This window comes from Homo sapiens, chromosome X (assembly GCF_000001405.40).
Source record: "Homo sapiens chromosome X, GRCh38.p14 Primary Assembly".
Lineage (NCBI taxonomy): Eukaryota > Metazoa > Chordata > Mammalia > Primates > Hominidae > Homo > Homo sapiens.
The window spans coordinates 38050393-38072832 of record NC_000023.11 but is presented as its reverse complement, the minus strand read 5'-3'; the positions used below and the strand labels follow the sequence as shown (position 1 = coordinate 38072832).

Here is a 22440-nt window from a genome sequence, read left to right as displayed (position 1 = left end):
TCCATCTTTAATTAACTAAATTGTAATTTGAATGCACCAAAAGGCACTGTCAAGGTAAAGTGTTATTTTCATTTGGTGCCAGTATTCATTCAGTAAGACTATGCATTTCAAGCCATTTAGCATCTCTGGCTCCTTCCCACCAAATGCCATTGACTCACCAGTCACTGTGACAACCAGAAATGCCCCCCTTGCCTTTCCAAATGCTCCCATTTTGAGGGAGGGAGACAAGGTACATATTATCAATCTTTGATTGAGAACCACTGGATTTAAAAAGTAACATTGAAAGGAAATCGGAAATAAATATTGTTGAAAAATCAAGGATTGCTTTCACAATGTGAATCATTTAATTCATCTGTTTTATGTTACTTTAAGTGTTTAGTAAAATATTGGATGCATTCAGAAAGAGAACTGTCTATGATGGAGACAAATGGTTTCTTTGAAAATCTTAGTGGGTGAGATATATGGAAAATCATTGTGAATTTTGTTTTCTACTGACTTCTTCTTGTCTTGTATGAATTACGTATCTAGATTTCATGCTACCAAGTTGTGAAATGCCCTAAGGGATTCAAGAAACTCATTTATGCTGATTAACTACATAACATAGAGAAGTTATTTAGTTAGCCAAATGGAGATGAAAACAGTTGTGAAACCACATAATTGCTTTAATTACCTGGACTTCTTCTTAAAATGGACTGTCGGACAACATCAGTGCCGAGAACATTGACTTGCTTGAAACGTTTTGCCTTTTCTTCAAAAAACCACTCACCAGTTATAATCCTTAGCTGCCTACTCAAGGGAAAAGGGAAGAGCATTGAAATTCAATTATTTAGCCACATAATTAACTCTCAAAAATCCCTAATAAACTGAAAACAGCAAATTATTTATAAAGTTTATCTCAATCTCTGGAGTATTTTATGGTGATAATAATAGCCAGTATTAATTGAATGTTTACTATCTGCTAGGTACTTGCTAATTACGGTTCATACTTCATATATTTTTATCCACATAGCAACCTTATGTAAACACTATTATCCTAATGTTATAGATGAGGAAATTGGGACTTAGAGCAATAAAATAATGTGCCTCATATCACACAGCTGGTAAGTAGCAGAGCCAGGATCCCATCCCAATAAGTCTGACCTGGGGCTCAAGTTCTTAACCACTGCATTAGTGGATAAGTGATCTTCAATGCAAGCAATAGGGATCAAGTAAAGGTTTGGAATGAAAAAGAGGTCATGATCAGACTCTGTGATCAGACTTATGATCAGATCTCTGTGATGAAAAGATTCTTTGATATAACATGTACAGTGGGTTAGACTGATGAGAGAATAGGATAAAGAGACAGGTTGGCCATTGTAATAGTCCAGGAGACAGATGATGGCACCCATGCTAGGGCAATGGTAAGACTAAAAGAGGAGTAATAAATTCAGATCATAGGTGGTGGAAGTGCTTGCCTGGATTTGGTAATAAGTTCAATGTTAAAGATGGGAAAGAAGGATCCTTGAATAGTCACACCCATCTTTTAAACCCTACCTGCAATGGCTACATGAAATCACCCCCATCTTCCCTCCTGAAATGCTTATAATCCTCTTCTTTGTCTGTACTTCTCCCATTACTTATAGCGTCCTTCAGTATTATTTCTACCCTCTCATTTCGACTGGGTTGTAAATGCTCTGAGAACTGATTTCTGTCTGCTTCATCTTTTGTTTTCCATAGTACCTACAAGAAAGTCTTTCACAGACCACGATCTCAATTAATGTTTTTCAAATGAATGACTACTCTCTCATAATTTTAACACATTACCCTTCTTTTCATATTCTCATAGTTCTTATTATCATCAGTGAAATGAGGGCAGGGACCTTGGCTGTGTTGTTCACCATTTCCAGGAGCAGTAACTGGCACTCAGGAAATATTTGTGGAATGAATTAGAATACCTGGAATTCAACCTATAGTAGTTATGCTGCTATAAAAGTCCTTTTCTGGCATATCACAAGGATTTTAACAGCTGTAGAAGTCATTCGGTAGACTAAATATATTTCTAATTAAAAATTAAGAAATGGCTTTAGCTGATTAGGTGAGCACTATTGTCCCAAAACCTCTATGGGCATGTTCTGAAAATAGTAAATAGGACTATGTAACTACGGTAAAGGATTTGTGGAGAATTCTATTGAAAACTGGAGTTAAAAGGTAGGATTTGGGGTCAAATATTTGAATGCTGAGGTAAAGAGGTGGAATGTCATTCTAGCAGTTTTTCTAAAGTTCAGATTGAATCACATAATCTCTGGCTAAATATATGAAGAAGAGAGAAACCAGAGGTAGGCAGGCAAATTAGAAAGTTAAACAATAAAGAGGATAGAAAATGATGAAGATGCAAATCAGGGTATCATGGAGGTGAGGAGTAAAGGGAAAGACACATACACTTGGCCCACTGAGAATGAGAATCAGTAAGAATTGGTGACATGTCTGATATGGTGGCTGAGGAAAAGCAACTGAGAGTCAAATAGGCATTTCAAGCCCCAGAATATTATATCCATTTGATTCAGCAACTTATTGGACTTGAAAATCAATAGCTGGATCTCAAATAGAAAAGTCACTCTTGAAAAATATGTCAACCTTCTTCCCCAATTATCCTGAAATCTGCTTGTTCAGCAATTATCCTGAAATCTGCTTCGGAATCTGAGGCAAAGGTAAATTATATATGAAACACCATTCCACTACTGGCAAAAAGTGAAAATGTTAACCTTGGAGAAAAGTATTCATTGAAAGGTAAGACCATAGTTTGTCTACCATAGATTTACTCCCAAGTGGTTATATTACCTATTGAGAAGCCCAGACTATTGGATAAGCTCCATAACAGTAACTATATAAAATACGCTTATGGAATACGGTCAAATCTAAGATATAACCTACCAAAACCAAAAGCTTGAATGGGTTAAGTTATTTCTGGATACATTTCAAGTGATCTATAGACTTATGTATCACAGTGTTGGAAATCCAGGTGACAATTGTGGTATTCTAAATTCGAAAGATGTCTCCTGTTTCTTGGCTATTCAGTCAAACACTAATCCAGGTGCTGATGTGATCAGACATTACAGATGGAATTAGGTTACTAATTAGCTGACCTTAAAATAGTGAGATTATCCTAGATTATCCACATGGGCCCAAAGCAATCACATAAGCCCTTAAACACAAAGGAAGAAGAGGAAGTCAGTAAAGACAATGCAGAATGGAAAGTCAGATTGCAAATATGAGAAAGATTTTATGTGCTGAGAAAGCTCTGAGGTGTAGAGGTCCACAGGCAATGACTGGAAAGTGAGACCTCTATGAGCTAAGAATGGCTTTCCGTGAACAGTCAACAAGGAAATGAGCACCTCATTCTGACAGCCACAAGGAACTGGATTCTGTCCACAAGAATGAACTTGGAAGTGGATTCTTCCCAGAATCTCTTTATAGAAAAAAGAACTCAACTAGCCAACACCTTGATTTCAGCCTTACAGAACCTGGAGTAGAGAAACGAGTCAAACTCGTTTGAGCTCCAAAACTGTGAAATAATACATTTGCATTGTTTTAAACTGCTAAGCTGTAGTAATAGTTAAGGTGGCAATAGAAAACTACTATGATAAGTTAACATAGAAATATATTTGTTCTAATATTCAACTCAGGAAATTGCATAGGTTGTAAGAAGATGAATAAGGAAAATTCAGAAACAAAAGGGAAAAGGTAGGCACACTATGGCCCATGGGTCAAATTCACCCCATCATCTATTTTGTACAGCCTGCAAGCTAGAAATGATTGTTACATTTTTAAATGGTTGAAAAAAATCAAAATAAAAATACTTAATGACATGTGAAAAGTATATGAAATTCAAATTTCAGGGTCTATAAATAGGGTCTTCTAAAAAATAATTTCAACTTTTATTTTAGATTAATAGGGTACATGTACAGGTTTGTTACGTGGGTATATTGTGTGAGGCTGAGGGTTGGGGTATAAACGATCCCGTTGCCTAGGTACTGAACATAGTATCCAATAGGTAGTTTTTCAACCCTTGCCCCCACCCCCAGGAGTCCACAGTATCTATTGTTGCCATCTTTATCTCCATATGTACCCAATGTTTAGCTCCTACTTATAAGTTAGGACATGCAGTATTTGGTTTTCTATTCCTGCATTAATTCGCTTAGGATAATGGCCTCCAGCTGCATCAATGTTGCTGCAAAAGATATGATTTCATTATTTTTATGACTGCATAGTATTCCATGTTGTATATGTACCACAATTTCTTGATCCAATCTACTGTTGATGGGCACCTAGGTTAAGTCAATATCTTTGCTTTTGTGAATAGTGTAGCTGTGAATATATAAGTATATGTGCTTTTGTACAATGACTTTTTTCTCCTTTGGGTATATACCCAGTAATGGGATTGCTGGGTTGAATGGTATAATAGTTTTGTTTTTAGTTCTTTGAGAAATCTCCAAACTGTTTTCCACAGTGGCTGAACAAATTTACATTCCCACCAACAATGTATAAGCATTTCCTTTTCTCCACGACTCACCAGCATCTGTAATTTTTTGACTTTTTAATAATAACCATCTGACTGGTGTGAGATGGTATTTCATTGTGCTTCTGATTTGCATTTCTCTGATGATTAGTGATGAATATTTTTTTCATATGCTTGTTAGCTCCTTGTATATCTTCTTTTGAGATGGGTCTGTTCATGTCCTTTGCCCACTTTTAAATGGGATTATTTGCTTCTTTGCTTGTTAACTTTATTACAGATTATGGATATTAAACATTTGTTGGATGCATAGTTTCCAAATAGTTTCTCCCATTCTGTGGGTTGTCTGTTTGCTCTGTTAGTTTCTTTTGCTGTGTAAAATTTTTTAGATTAATTAGGTCTCATTTGTCAATTTTTGTTTTTATTGTAATTACTTTTGAGGAATTAGTAATAAATTATTTGCCAAGGCTGATATTCAAAATGATACTTCCTTGGTTTTCTTCTAGAATTTGTATAGCTTGAGGTCTTACACTTAAATATTTAATCAATCTTGAGTTAATTTTTGTATATAGTGAAAAATAGGGGTCTAGTTTCATTCTTCTGCATGTGGCTAGCCAGTTATTCCAGCACCATTTATTAAATAGGGAGTCCTTTATTCATTGATCATATAAATAAAGTTTTATTGAAAGATATCCATGCTCAATTGTTTATGTGTTGTCTTTGGCTGCTTTTGTGCTACAACTACAAAGCTAAGTGGTTGCAGCGGTAGACCACATAGCTCTCAAAGCCTAAAATATTTGCTCTCTGGTGTTTTATTACAAAAAAGAAGAGTTTTTAACTTTTGCAGGAGGCAAAGAGTACACAAAAAGAAATAAGAACAAGGGGGAATACTATAGTTCAGTGACTAAAAATTGCTAAATAGTGGCATGCCAAGGCCTTAGATCTTTTTTTTTTTTTTGATATGTTCTTTGGATGTGAGATGGAGTAGATAGCATACTGACAGCAGTTTCATGTGTGACAGAAGAAAGTGGACACATCCAGTCTACATTCTCCAGGAAATGGGCCTCCATATCACTTTTACCATGCATGCTTAGAGCTGCCAACACCTAACACAAATAAGATCTTCCCAGAATTGTTAGTCATTACCTCTTGCTACCCTTGGAGAATAATAACTATAAGTCTTGTATTTGTTCAACTCAGATAATGCACTTGAGTCATTTGTCATTTCAGAGAAAATACCAGAACAGATTGTTGAGATTATGCCTTTGTCACCCTCTCAGGTGTCACGTCTTGTCAGGAGGCAGACAGAAGGCTTGGTAGAACAGGAAACTAATACTTAGTGAGTGCATGTCAGTCACCAAGTAATAGGCTAGTCACTTTATATACGGTATCTCTAATTCTCACTATAAGCAATGAAGTATCTATTACCATTACCAATTTACAGACAAGGAAACTAAAGCTCACATAGGTTAAACAATTTGCCCAAAGTTATAAAGGTATTATGTCAGAGACAGGATTTGTATTGAAATCCCACATGCTTTATACTTGGAAAAATTGTCTGAAGAGAACTCATACTTGTCAACTATAACAGGGCTTTGAGGAAGGGTGAAAACCTGTAGAGTCCAAGGAATAACAAACATAGCATTGCATATGATTGGCTGTGATTGTGGGGTGTGTGTGTGCGTGTGCATGTTTGTGTGTTGAGGGTGGAGTGGTAAGAATACAGAAGGGGTAAAAGACAAAAGAAAATAAAAATCCCACCCACTATAAAATTTATATCCCTCTCTGTCATGTCAATCTAGTATTTGAAAAACACAAGACTTGACATAGACTTTATGCACTGTAAGTCATACTCTGAAGAATGGGCCTGATTAAAATCACAGTGGGCTATACTTATTTGTGAATAATGATTACTGACAGTTCAGGGTTTGTTTTGTCCTGGTTTTCTTTAACACTAAACCTCTGGGACTTTTCAAGCCTTCACTTGGAAGCTTATATGAATGTAAAGTCAAATTAAATTATCTATAGTTTTACAGGGGAAAATAGGTAATCTTATCTTAAAAAAGAATAATGACCAAAAGATTCATTTTGCTCCTTTATTTTCTATTAACTGCTGGAGACATCTGCAACAAGATATGCTTATTAGATACTCTGAGATAAGATATTAGTTCCTTTCTATTATTCATAAGGAAACTAATTCAATTTTTTTATACATTTATTAATTACACAGCATTTTTTTTTGAGACAGAATCTCACTCTGTCACCCAGGCTGGAGTGCAGTGGCATGCTCTCAGCTCATTGCAACCTCCACCTTCTAGGTTCAAGCGATTCTCCCGCCTCAGCCTCCCGAGTAGCTGGGACTACAGGCATGCCCCATCACACCCGGCTAATTTTTGTATTTTTAATAGAGATGGGTTTTCACCATGTTGGCCAGGCTGATCTCAAACTCCTGACCTCAAGTGATCCGCCCACCTCTGCCTCCCAAAGTGTTGGGATTACAGGTGTGAGCCACCACGCCCGGCCTACACAGCAAATATTTATTGCATTTCTACTATGTGTCATGCCCCGGGCTAAGGCTAAGAATACAGAGGTGAAGAAGACAAACAAGGACCTTGGCCATATGAAGATGCTGGTGTACATTTATTCCTTTCTTCCTTTCCAAGCAGGAAAAGTGAAAAGAAACCCCTAGACACATTATGGTGAAACTATAGAGCACTACAGACAAAGGGAACATCTTAAAAGTAGCCAGGAAGGCAAAAGGAAACCTACAAAAGAACCACAATTAGCATGACAGTTGATTTTTAATAGCAATGATGAAATCCAGAAACCAATGACACATCTTCAAAGTGCTGGGAGAAAATACTATCAATCTAGAATTGCATATCCACAGAAATCACTGTTCACGAATGAGGATGAAATAAAGAAATTTTCAACATAATGAAAACAGATAATTTATCACCAAATAGATTCTCACTAAAGGAACTTTTAAAGACTATACTTCAGGAGAGGTAAAATAGGTCTGAGGTATAAAAAGAAATGGTGAACAATGAAATTGATAAAATATATAAAAATCTAAACAAACATTGATTTATAAAGAAAAATGAGATGACATAAATTGTTGGATTATACAATAAGAAATGTCTAAAACAAAGGACAAAAATTATGTATCAGCCAGGAAAATAATATTTAGAGTTCAAGAATACCAAGTTTCTTTTAGCTATTGATTTGCAAAGTTAAATATAAATGTTATAATTTCCAGGGTAACCACTGAAAATGAAAAAAGCATATAATACGAATACCAGTAGAAAGGATAACATGGGATGAGAAAAATACACTTTAATGAATCTACAGATAAAATAAATAAATGCAAATATTTCAGGAATCACAATGATAATAGAAATAAATGTAAATATTGCAGTAATCAGTGAGTACAGACTAAACTCTATAATTTAAGAAACAATATTATGAGATTAAATGTTAAAAATTACATATAGTATATATATCAGGTATATGTATATACAGCACATATGTAATGTATGTAGCATATAAGTATAACAAGTATTAAAATACATATAACATATACTATATTTTAAAATAATACATATGCCACATAAAAGAGACTCACCTTAAACATATGGACACAGAAAGGTTTAAAGTCAAATGTTGGAAAAACATGTATGCAGCTATTAACCAAAAGAAATTTGATGTAATTGTATTAATAACAGAAAAAATAGCCTTCAAAGCAAAAACATATTTAGAGATGAAGGGAAGCATAAAGAGTACCTCCAAATTAATAAGGAAAAGACCAGCACCTAAAATAAAATTGTGCAATACACATAAATACTCATATCACAGAAAAAGAACCACAAAAAGCTAATAAATATATGAAAAGCTGCTCAACCTCATACTTAAGCAGTAAAATGCAAATTGAAACTATAGGGAGATATTCCTTTATATCTATCGGTTTGGAAAAAATAAAAAATGTTCATGAAGCCAAGTGTTGGTAAGATCATGAAGTAAAGGAAACACTTATACAATGCTAGTGGGGTTTTGATTGTTACAACCACTATAAAAAAGAATTTAACATTATCTTGTCAAGCTGAAAATGCTCATACCGTTTGGTGTGCAATTTCATTCCCAGATGCACAATCTGCCGTAGTCTTCTCAAGCATTTTTGGCAGAGGTCACAATAAGAAATACATTTTATGTCACAACTCAGAAAATAAATACACACATGTATAAGTATACACATACACACACACACACACACACATATATATATGTATATCTATACTGACACTTTTTACTCCACTTTTTTTTAATGTTAGTTACTACCCACCAATGGGTCATGATCCACAGATTAAAAATCCCACCACTTGTTTTTAATGCTAGTTACTACCTACCAATAGGTCATGATCCACAGATTTAAGAATCCCACCATTGAGTGTACACACTCATACATGTTTGTCAGGCCATATGTATAAGAATGTCATGGCAGCATTTTTTGGTAAAATTATAAACTGAAACAATCTAAATGTCTGTTGACCAGAAAATAGATGCATTAAGGGAATGTAACAACAGTGTAGATGAATGTAATGTTATTCACACGAACATGGATGTATTTCACAAACATGTTGTTGAGATAAAAACATCACAAAAGAATACAGGTAGTATGATTTCCATTTCCATAATATTCAAAAATACAAAACTAGAAAACATGTTACTTAGAGACACATCCAAATGCAGTAAAACCATAAAGTAAAGCAAGGGAATGAAAAATACAAAACAAGATGTTCTAATTCTTAGACTGGGTAATGAATACACAGGGGCTATTTTTATTATTGTTTAAACTATATGTATTATAGAGTACCTTGGATATGTACTATATTTTTAGATTTAAAAATCTTTCTAGTTTATATAGCTATTAAGGTACCATACTCATAGTGAACACCTCATTCTATACAAGCGTGGAGGCACTTGTATATAATTGATAGTTGATGCAAAATAGCATGTCAAGGGACTAAAAATAGCTTCTTGCCATTCAAGAAATCTTTGGGTAAATGTAGGACTACTCCAATATGAATCTTTCCCTTGTAGCTGCACTATGAAAATTTGCTAAATTAGAAGTGATTTTGAAATGACCTATGTGGCAATTACCAATACTCACTCATCAGGCCAAAGATGACCAGATGCTCGTCCCACCTATGGACAAACATGTTGAGATTTTTGCCCATAATAATGAAAAAAAAAACTCCACATACCATGAGGAATCATGGAGAGTCTCAGTAAGAGGGCACTTGAAAGGATTTACTATAGGATTTGGGTTTATGTTAGTAATTTTCGGGAGAGTTAGATGGAGCAGGGATTTTCTCTGGATTAAGCGATGTCAGAGAATGGGGACAATTCTAACATTGGTATCTTGATAAATTTTATTTAGAAGGATGGCAGACTAATGCTAGGCTAAAGCTCTAATTGGTAAGAAAGTAGGAGGTTATTCACATTAGTCAAGAAATGGGGATGTTCGGTAATTTGCGGTTTCAACAGTCACCTTGTTTTCATCTATGCTTAGATAAGATTACAAAGTGTTCTTGTTTTGTTTACTTTATTATTGTTGTAGAATGATCTTGTGGGATTCTGGTACCCTGAGACTGCTTGATGTCCAACAGGATAACAGTATGGCCTACCTGTAAGTGCAAGACCAGCTCTTAACATCAAGGGACTAGGTTTGTCAGTGTGAGCCCAGTTTCCAGATGTCAGGGGCTGTATTTCTCTTTCTTATAACAAAGGTGTATACATCGTCTTCTGCACTCTGTGTATGTTCCATCCATCAGTATTATCTTTTTTGAAATCTATTTTACTGATAAACACTCAGTATTTTTCATCTATTTCAGTTATATTTTATCCATTGCAGTAATCATTACCAATCAATCAAAAATAAAAATATCATCAGGATCTTCCTAATTTAAAAAGACAAAGATTCTCACAAGGACATATAGCACGGTAATATGTTGCAACATAGCATGAATATAAGATCTGCCCATCAATGCCATATTAGAAGTATTTCATGTTTTGGCGGGACACAGTGGCTCACACCTATAATACCAGCACTTTGGAAGACTGAGGTGGGTGGATCACTTGAGGTCAGGAATTTGAGACCAGCCTGGCCAACTCAGTGAAACCCCATCTCTACTAAAAATACAACAAAATTAGCCGGGTGTGGTGGCACATGCCTGTAGTCCCAGCCACTTGGGAAACTGAGGCAGGAGAATCACTTGAACCTGGGAGGCAGAGGCTGTAGTGAGTCGAGATTGCGCCACTGCACTCCGGCTTGGGTGACAGAGCAAGACTCCATCTCAAAAAAAAAAGAAAAAAAGAAAAAATATTTCATGTTTTGTTCCAACTCATGTTGCTTTTATCTTTGGGGCCTTCTGAATTCAATTGGGTACTAATTAGAAAAAATGATCATTATGACTGTCTTTGTGTTGGACTGCAACTGCCTCAGCTAACATAACAATGTGGAATTTTGTAGGTATTATTAAGATAGAAAAATGAATTAACTGGCTGTGTCAAGGTCCCTTTTATCATGTTTTTTATAGAGTTTAAAAACTAGGCTTACAATAGCCAACTTGTTGGAATCAGAAGGGATTGGAGAAAATGTCAGGGCCTGCTCAGCCCATTATAACAGGTAACCTTCCTCTGTCAGTCCTTGCTGTAATCGTTTCAGTGCTAAAGCAATAAAAGCTCTTTACTTTTACCCAATCCAAAGTAAATGACAATAAAGGTCATTTACTTCCAACTGATTAGAGAGTGAGTCACCTTCTGACTCATCTCATCTCTTAGAGGTCAGGGTGGGAATTTCAATTTTATGGTCTATTAAATATAGAGACAGCTCAGTGGGGCTGCAATATTCTCTCACAATAAACAAAGAGTGTTTGCTGCCAATAAAATATTATTTATGCTTCCGTTTTGAAAACCACTCCATGAATAGCAAACAAGATACTTCCAATACTGAGATATAGTTTAAGTCTCTAATATCACACAGACTAACAGTTGCAATGTTGGAGAAGTAATGTACTCTGATTTTCAGCTTTAAAAATGAGAAGTAATTTTGATATATCAAATTAAATACTCATCATGTAAATTTCTAGCTGTCACAGAAGGATATAACTAAAAGACAAGTTGTTGTCATAGAAGGGTTAGAATCACACATTGAAAGAGCTGTTTCTTCCTTAAGACATTTTAACGCATCAAGACAGAAATTTATGAATAAAATAATAAACTCATCTTCCTCCTTATACTGTGTAACCATTGAAGATAGACCATTTTTTATTCAACTTTGTATCCTTAGTCCCTAGTATACTTAACAGGTTATCAATAAATGTGTGGGAAAGATAGATGGATGGGTTAATGAATGGATTAATTATATAGGTGGATATTTGGGTCTATTAAATTATTGTTACACCAATAAAATTAGTGCAATTGATTCAGAAGTTCTGTATCAATGCATTAACATGTCCCAAGGAAGACACGGAAGTTTTGATTTGTTATTATTTATTCTTATACCCTCTGACAACAACTTATGTTACATCTTTACGTGACAGTTAGGAATTTACTTTGTTCAGAGGGCAAATGCATTTGGCATGGCTCATTTCTTTTTAATCCCATGCTCCTGACAGAAGAAAACCACAATTGTTCTACATTTGTTCCACTTGCTTAAGCCTGATATACTTTAAGTAGAGGCCAACCATTTATTCATCCATTCAATTGTTCATTTGTTTGTTTATCCATTCATCTATCTGTTCATTTAACAAGTATTCATTGAGTACCTACTATAGACATTATTTTAGGCACTAGAACTACATCAGTGAACAGTACAGATAAAAACTCCTGCCCTTACATTCTAGTGGAGAAAGAAAAATAATAAGATAAATAAGTAAAATATAGAGCATGTAAGTATTAAGGGAAAAACCACAGGAAAGGGTTATATTAATTTGGGTAGGCTAGCTTCTAAAACAATCTCCGAATTCCACTGACTTATATTAAAAGTTAATTTCTCATTAAAATAACCTAAAGTTAATCTGATAAAATGTAGGAGAGCGGTATGAGTGACTTAGGCCTCTAGTTATCATCCGTACTAACTAGCAGATTAGTTGATGGCAAAATGTGTGAATACACAATCTCCTTGGATCTTGTATTGAAAAGTATACCTCAGTAATTACCTTGTAATGATATTTAGATAGATATATTTAGATAGTGATATTTAGAAGTTAAAGATAAAATTCTTCTCCCGGTACAGAAGCTTAAGATGACTTATAATTGATTGAAGAGTTTTTGAGTCACAGTCCCTGGTTACTGTTGTCTAAGTGAGTGAGGGCCTTGGGTGTAAAGAAGAGGGTGAACAAACATGGAATATAAATGACAAAAATAAATACTAACGATCAAATAGTATTTTATAAATTTAGAGAAATAGTTATTGAGAAATTCCCCCATAAATCCTCAGACTCCATAGTTGAGGACTAGCAAATCAGTCATTAGTTAAAATTCAATTTTCTTCTTCATTGCTCTAAAATGGAAAATCTCATCTTGGCAGAATCTGGTGGGAAAAGAGCTGTGTGAAAAAACAAGCAAACAAACAAACAAACAAAAAACCCCAAAACTTTTAAACTCATCCCAACTCTACTAACACACATCTAACTCTTAGCGTTCTTGTTTACACTATCCATAAAATATAAAACCAATTGCCTCTCTTATCTAATAGGCATGTTATGAGTCTCTGAAGGAGTATTCCCTATGAGTTTATGTGATCCAGAAACAGATCAGCCCTCATGGGGACCAAGGTCCCAATTTTGAAATTAGTTCAATCCTTGACTTGATTAAGGTAATCTTAAATATGCAAGAGCCTTATCCTAATTCCCTTTCAGAAGAAAAATGTACATTCTCAATAGAGGCATATTATACAGAGTCTCATTAAGTCCTACCATTTCTTCATATATTTTGGCCATCAATAAAAAACCACTAGGTTTACGGGAAGAAAGACATGACCAAAACCACAAGAAACAATAAACAATAGAAGTAGTCCCGTAGGGGACTCAGATAACAGATCTATAATTTATACATTTTAACATAATTCCAAATAATTACTTCAAGAAATTACAAGAAAAAAATGAGTAGGTCAGCAGACGGTTAGAAAACATAACAGAGGCAAAATGAAAATTCTAAACCTGAAAAACACAGTAACTGAAGTTAAGAATTAAATGGATGTGTTTAATAGCAAATTAGACACAAAGGCAGGATTCATGAACTGAAATATAGGTCAGACAAAATATACAAACTGAGTTTAGAGATGTAAATGGATAACAAATACAGAAGGGAGCATAAAGATATCTAAAAGATGCTGAATATTACTAAGATGCATATCTTGACTACCTGGCATAGAGGAGACAGATAATGGGGGAAAAGAAATATCTAAAGAGATATTCCCTGAGAAGTTTTCAAATATGACAAAAGATATTAATGTACAGGTTCAAGATGTTCTAGGAACATCAAAATAGATAAATACAAAGAAAATCAGACATAGGTTTGTTATAGTAACTGTTGAAAACACGACAAAAAGGGGAAAATATTAAAAACGTTTTAAAAATATTACCTTCAAAGGAACAATAATATACTGATAGCTGATTTCCTAATAAAAACACTGGAAATCAGAAGCCAATAGGATCTTCAAATTACTGAAAGTTAATAACATCCAACCTAGGATTCAATAAGCAGTGCAAACACATTTGAAAATTAAGAGTGAAATAAAGCCATGCTAAGAAAAAAATTGAGAGTATTCACCACCAGCAAAGCCACACTAAAGGAAATACTAAAGGGTACCCTTTAGGAAGAAGAAAAATTATTCTGATGGAAGCATAGAGATATAGCAAAGAATAAAGAGCAGTGGAAAGGGTAACTCTGTAGTAAATCTAAATATATAAAGCAAATATAATCAAAACTAAAAGGATAAATAAGAAATCCACAATTATTATTGAGAGAGTTTAGCATACCTTTCTCGATATCTGATTGGATATGCAGATTAAAAATCACTAAGTATATGGAAGACTTGGACAATGCAATTAACAAACATCATTGAATAGAGTTATCTAGGATACTCAAATCAGCCACTGCATAATTCCCACATTAAAATATAAAAATCAGTTTCTAATTCACAGTATGCACACAAAATAAGTTTCAGGTGGATTATAAGTTTAAAGATAAAAGGTAAGACAATAACAATTATAAAACATCACATAGGAGAATATTTTCATGATTTTGGTGTTAGGGAAAGTTTTCTTCAACAGGATTCAGAAAAAAATCCCTCTAGTAATCCAGGAAAAAATTAACAAATGGAACTACTAAAAAGTAGAGATTTCTGTTCATAAAATGATACCATTAAGACAATGGAAAGCCAAGTCAGGAGGTGAGAGAGGATATCTGCAATATAGGTAACCAACATAGCTTGTACGTAGAATATATAAAGAGCTCCTTCAAATCAGTAAAAGATTATGTTGAAATCCATATATTGTTTATTTCATCACTGTTCATCCTCCCAGATCTGGAGAAGGAAGTTTGCTGATGACAGAAAGGACTAAGAAAAATTTATTTATGTGAGATAAAGAATTGAGAATAATTGCTTAAGTAAATCAAAATAACGTATCCAAAGTAAGTAATAAAAGAACTTAAAAGATTCGTTTCTTTAAAACTGTTTATCTAAAGCAATATACAGATTCAATGCATTCTCTGTTAAGATACCAATTACATTTTTCACAGAACTGCAAAAAACAATCTTAAAATTTACATGGAACCACAAAAGACCCAGAATAGCCAAAGCTGTCCTGAGCAAAAACAAAACTAGAGGAATCACGTTACCTGATTTCAAATTATACCACAGAACTATAATTTCTATGTTTTTATGCTGTATAGCATACACAAATCAGCATGGTACTAGTATAAAAACAGATTCAAAGACCGATGGAACCGAATAAAAAATGAAGAAACATATACATACATCTACAGTGAGCTCATTTTCCACAAAGGTGCCAGAATCATACATTGGGGAAAGGAGAGTCTCTTCAACAAGTGGTGCTGGGAAAACTGGATATCCACATGCATAGAATGAAACTAGACCCATATCTCTCACCACATACAAAAATCAAATCAGAGTGGATTAAATACTTAAATCTAAGACCTCAAACTATGAAACTACTATAAGAAAACTTCGCAGAAAAATCTCTAGGACATTGGTCTGGGCAAGCACTTTTTGAGAAATACCCCACAAGCACAGGCAATCAAAGCAAACATGAACAAATAGGATCATATCAAGTTAAAAAGCTTCTGCACAGCAAAGGATACAGTCAACAAAGTGAAGAGACAACTTGCAGAATGGGAGAAAATATTTGCAAAGTACCCATCTGACAAGGGATTAATAATCAGAATATATAAGGAGCTTGAACAACTCTACAAAAAATCTAATAATCTGATTAGGAAGAAATCTAATCATCTGATTAAAATGGGCAAATGAACTGAACAGACATTTCTCAAAAGAAGACATACAAATGGCAAACACGCATATGAAAAGGTGTTCAACAACATTGATCATCAGATAAATGCATGACAAAACTACAATGAGCTATTATCTCACTCCAGTTAGAATGGCTTTTATCCAAAAGACAGGCAATAACAAATGCTGGTGAGAATGTGGAGGAAAAGGAACTCTCACACACTGTTGGTGAAAATGTAAATTAGTACAACTAGGAGAACGGTTTGGAGGTTCCTTAAACTACTAAAAATGGAGCTACCATATGATCTAACAATCCCACTCCTAGGTATATACCCAAAAGAAAAGAAATCAGTATATTGAAGAGATATCTGCACTCCCATGTTTACTGCAGCACTATTCACAATAGCCAAGATTTGGAAGCAACCTAAGTGCTCATCAACAGATAAATGGATGAAGAAAATGTGGTACATATACACAGTGGAGTACTATTCAGCTATAAAAAGGAATGAGATCCACTCATTTGCAACAACGTGGATGAAAATAGAGGCCATTATATTAAGTGAAATAAGCTAGGCACAGAAAGACAAACTTTACATGTTCTTACTTATTTGTGGGAGCTAAAAATTAAAACAATTTAACTCATGGACATAGAGAGTGGAAGGATGGTTACCAGAGGCTGGGAAGGGTAGTGGGGGTCAAGGGAAGTGGAGATGGCTAACAGGTATAAAAATAGTTAGACAGAATAAATAAGATCTAGTACTTGATAGCATAACTGGGTGACTATAGTCAATAATAATTTAATTTTACATTTAAAAATAACTAAAAGAGTATAGGTGGATTGTTTGTAACACAAAGGATAAATTCTTGAGGTAATAGATACTCCATTTACCCTGATGTAATTATTACATATTGCAAGCCTGTATCAAAATATCTCATGTACCCCATAAATATATATACCTGCTATGTATTCACAAAAATAACCCTACTTATCTCAATCCAGTATTAAAACATAGTTTGAATTGCTCTATTCAGGATCACTTTTGTGAAACAGTACAGGGAACATAACATTGGCTAAAAATGTAAGCACTGAATATAGGCGTCTTCAACAGAACGGTAGTCCTCATTTAGAGAAGATGAAAATGAAAGATCACTTCTACTATCTCACTATTTACTTTTCCTCCCAAGACAGCCCCTAAACTACTGTAACAGGATGAGTTAACTAGGCAAAAAACAAAACAAAAACCAATGAATTGGATTCACAGGAAAGGTAGATGAACACTCAGCTGCCTTGAGATGAGATTATGAGGCACCTCCCAGAGCAGAGGAGACAGACACTGGGAGGGAGAAAACATACCAGTGGATTCAGGGGAAATTTCTCAAAAGGAGGGGAGCAGTAGAGACTGAATCAGACTAAGACTGGTTTAACTGAACTGAGAAAACAATGACTCTTGGCTTTCACCCAAGTTGGCAAAGTGAAATTTGTGCTTACTGCACTCCCACAGGCTAAACAGAGAGGCAAATGGGAAGGTTCTCTCCCTTCATTCTTTCTCAAGGAATGAGAAAGAATTTGGAGGAAATTCGGTTTGGAGGAAATTCGGGAAGTACTCCAGCTTTGCTTGTCAGCTGATGTGCAGAGCAGGCTGAACATGTGAGAACCATATTGCCAGTCACCTCAAATGTCTAAGAATGTCTCAGGGAAATTATCTATGCCCTCTGAGGAGCCACGTGAAGCCAAGAGGGGCCCTGAGACAAGGATGCTCAGGGGAAGTTTTGAAATACAGAAAGAGTGGCCGGGTGCAGTGGCTCATGCCTGTAATCCTAGCACTTTGGGAGGCCAAGGCTGGAGGATCCCTTGAGTCCAGGAGTGCAAGACCAGCCTGGACAACACAGCAAGACCCTGCCATTCAATTAGCTGTGTGTAGTGGTGCATGCCTGTAGTCTCAGCTATTCTGGAGGCTGAGATGAGTGGATCACTTGAGCCCAGGAGGTCGAGGCTTCAGTGAGCCATGATAACAGCCACTACACTCCAGCCAGGGTGAGAGTGAGACCCTGTCCCTAAAATAATAATATTAATAATGATTAAAAAGAAAGAGATATGGTTCAGTGAGGCTTCCAATTTTACAATGCTTTGCAATTTTTAAAAAAATATTCTTTCTGTATCTCTCTCTCTCTCTCTCTCTCTCTCTCTCTCTCACATACACACACACACACACACACACACCCCAGAGCCCTGCCAAGGCATTGCTAAGCCTGTGATTGGGCTGTAATTTCACCTGCACTCTCTATCCTTAAACTTAAAATACTCTTTTTCTCTTTTGCCTTCCCCACTCCAATCCCTTCAGTCATCAATCTCCACTTTCCATGAAAAATCAAGAAACTCACGCGATTTTGTCACAGACAGTGCACTTCCAGCTGCCATTGGGGCCTGCAACTCGACACTCCCTGCATACCCTCAGTGAGCAAGCCTGACAAGGGTCTCCCCGGTCAAAGATTAGGCCCAGGTTTCTGTGACAGTGAACACAAACTCTGCTGGCCTCTTGTTGAGTTTTCCCACTTCTACGTTTTGCTTCTAAGAGTTCATTTTTCAGCTTCCTGAAAGAAGAGGGGAAAAAAAATCACTTAAAAAAACAAACAGGAGCAGAGATATCTACAATGTCTAAAACAATGTCTAAAATAGATAGAATATTTGCCTCAAATAAGGCTGCTTTAAACTGGGGACCACCATGCAATCTCACTTAGAATTTTGAAAAGGTGCCTATTTGGTGTCGCTAGTTTCAATTCCCATCTCTTTAATCAAGAGATATTTTCATTTGGAAGGACATTTGAATCAAGGAGTTAGAACCAAATATTTTCAGGAAATACAATTTCTCCCTCCAGAGGCAACAATCCTTTGATATCAGTAACTGAAAAATAAAATGTTTGTGTTTTACTTTTGAATTTTGACATTCTCTTCCAGCACTATTATTTTGCTATTAGTATTTATTCTCATTCTACTGTAACTTCTCTAGGATATCTTTGATACCATAACACTAGAGAGCATGGCCCCAGGTTACAGGCATACACAGTACCTGGTTCTTTACCTGCCTATATATACTACTTGAGGCAGGAGTGTGAAATCAAACTCAGCATCATTGTAGGCACAATCTCCATGCACTTAAGAAAAGTAATAAAGACATTGCCTACCATTTCAGATGAGATCAGGTGCTTTCAGAGTGGTATGGCTGTAGACTGCCTACCATTTCACATCGAAAAGCTTCTGCTTAGCATTTGAAAGTTTCCAACAATTTCTATTAGCCTATGGGCTTTGCTGTTAGACATGCCTATGTTTAAATCCAGGTTCCATCATGAATAAGCTGTCCAGCCTCAGGCAATGATTTACCCACTCAACCCCAGTCTCTTCATTTCTAAAATGAGAGTAATAATATTCCTTCATGATTGTTTTAAAGATTAAATGAGATGATAAATGTAAAGTTCCCAGCATGCTGCTTGGTACATAGGTTCCATGTCCCTTCTTTTACTACCTGACATGTGATATATTTATCCTTTAGAAAATTGCTGTTCCAAGTGTGGTCCTTGTTCCAGCAGTATCAGCATCACCTGGGAACGTTTTAGGAATGCAGAATCTCAGGCACTGCCTTAGACCCTGTTGGATCAGAACCTACATTTTAACAAAATTTTCAGGTGATTTGAGTTGGAGAAGCACAGCTTTGGAGATTCAGTCTCAAATTTGGCTATATATTGGAATCACTTTGGAAAGATTTTAAAAATACTGATTCGCAAATCTCACTTCCACAGATTCTAACATAATTAGCTTTGGATGTGGCCTAGGTAACGGGATTTTTAAAAGCTTCACTGTTTATTCCAATATATTGCCAAATTTGTAAAACACTGCTCCAGAAGACAGGTTCCTTCTCACTTAAATGCTTCACAGACATGTCATTGCTTGGTGCTACTGAGCCAATCTCTTCTTCAACACAGAATGTCTATGTTCTAGGAAAAAAAAATTGAGAATCATCCCACACATTTTATACCATATCTTTTTACATTTGTGGTGTTAAACTTTGTCATGCCCATCTAGACTAGCATCTTCCCAAAGGCAGGAACAAAGGCCTTAGTTTATTGTATATACTGCTCAGGATCCAATTTCATGCTAGGTAATAAAGCAGTTGAATATTTAAAGCTATTTATTATTTCTTTTGATCTTTCAAACTAGCTTGTGAGGTATTGTAAGACTCATGTTAAAAATAATAAGCAGTACAGATGGAATCAGGAACCAGGTCATTTATTTCTCAGCCTGATGATAGATTCATAAAAAGAGAATTTTCAAACTGTAGAGCAAAGTTTTTAAAATCTTTGACTTCATGTCTCACTCATTCATCCAACAAGCACTTATAGTACGCCTACACTGTGCTAGGCATTCTGGTATTGAGGAAAAAAATGAGTCTAAACAAAACATCTACTAAGAATTACCATTACCCTTTATGTTAGTTAAGGAGACAAATGACACACCATGACTCATGTGTTGCAACAGGCAGCCATACTAAGCACTTTTAAGTCCCCACCAAGTTTGTGGTAATTTGTTACAGCAGCCACAGGAAATGGATATACCCTTGACTTGGCTTCATTTCTTACAGAGTACATCATTCCTGGGCATAACACATCCAACTCCCTGGGCTTTCAGTTCTTTGACCTGGTCATCTTCTTTGACCTTCCTGTCCATGTGCACCATTCACTCTCATGAAGAAACCCTGGAAGTTGTTATCTCTAGAAATTATATTATATCCAAAATCATGAATTTAAACACTGTTGAAACCATTATTCAGTTCTAATGAGTACATCACTTTCTCATTATCCATCATTTCTCCTCTCAGCCTCACTTCCCCTTGGAGCCAGAACAGAAGGAACCCTGCTTGGGATTGTGCGTCTCCTACCCTACAAACATCCTGGAGGCAGAATATCAGCTCTTTGAACATTCATGTGGATTAAACAGAGTGAGAAGATATCACAGCCTTCTGTTATCAGTTTCATATGGAGAAATGGTAATGACGACAGAAAGGAGACCTCTTTGTCCCATCACCAAATATTTCAAGCAATGAAGCATAACTTTTCTCTTTCCTTTCCTTCAACATAAGCAGGCACAGATCCTTAGTAGGGGAAGAGAAAAGAGAAAAAGAAGTAAAAGAAGAGGAAAAGAAAACCTTTATTCCTTCCCTGTGGCTCACTGCAGTGGCTTGAAGTGCTGTATGAATTTGAGGCATATGGGAAGGAGATTGAAATGGATAATAATTAATAATTTAAAAAATGTCTAAAATAGATGGAATATTTGCCTCAAATAAGACTGCATTAAACTGGAACCACCATGCAATCTCACTTAGAATTTTGAAAAGGTGCCTATTAGGTGTCCCTACTTTCAATTCCCTTCCAATCTACTCTCCATGGAATAATCAATATCATTAGTCAATACTCTTTTAAAATATTTCTTACATCATGTGGTTCCTCTGCTTAAAACCAACCAGTAGTTTTCCTTTATATTTTTAATGAAATTTATACCTCTTTCCCATAGCCTGTAAAGATCTGCCTAATCTGCTCCCTCTTCCCTCTGGTCATCTCCTGTCTACAGATAGGAGATAGGATTCAGCAACATAATTCTTCTTAAAGTTTCATAAATATACCAAGTTCTTTCCCACTTCAGGGCCTTTGAACATGCTATTTCTTCAGCTGGGAATGCCTTCCCTCCACATTCCATCACCCAAAACAGTAGTCATTTATCTGTTCACTAAATACTTCCCATTCTCCTTACTTCTGAAAGCAAGTTGGGATTGCACCTTTCTGCCCTGTTGGCATTAGATGTCATCATGTGACTCACACTGGCCAATGAAACGTGGTAAGTAATCCCAGCTAAAAGCTTTAAAATCAAGGGCAGGGTTCACCACACACCCTTTTCTTTCCATAGAGAATGACAATGTTCCAAATAGTGTCTGCTCTGCAAGTCTGGATCCTGGTCTGAAAATGCCATGAAGTAGAGTCCCCAGACATCCTGTTATGAACATGTGGCATGAGTGAGAAATCTTTGTTGTTTTAAGCCACTAAGAGTTTGGAGCTGTTACTGCAGCATCACTTAACCTATATTGACTGATAAACATACAACTTAATTCTTAATCTGGCTGGCTCCCGCTTATTTTTTTTTTAATTTTAGTTTTACTGCTGCTTGCCCAGGGAAGGTTTTCTCTGACCACCAAATCTACAACAGCTTCACATTCTTTAATTTTCCTTGTTGCTCTATAGATACATTTATATTAACATATAAATTGCTGACCTATATGTAGTTGAAATTGTAAAGACTGAAAAGATTAACTATCTTGATGGTTGTTGAATGATACAATCTTTTCATTTCTGTATTCTAGTGATATAT

At 35.6% G+C, this 22440-nt stretch overlaps 1 protein-coding gene across 28 annotated transcripts in view; it reads right to left on the bottom strand.

Moving 5' to 3' along the window:
- The window catches only part of SYTL5 (synaptotagmin like 5), a 239906-nt gene that overhangs the window by 55988 nt on the left and 161478 nt on the right, over positions 1 to 22440 (bottom strand). For all 28 annotated transcript variants that reach the window (XM_017029972.1, XM_047442658.1, XM_011544001.3 and 25 more), the window contains 2 exons: positions 18411 to 18620; positions 671 to 786 (listed from right to left, as the gene is read on the bottom strand). In XM_017029972.1, the coding sequence (XP_016885461.1) occupies positions 671 to 786; positions 18411 to 18620 (326 nt within the window). The remainder of the gene's footprint in view (positions 1 to 670; positions 787 to 18410; positions 18621 to 22440) is intronic.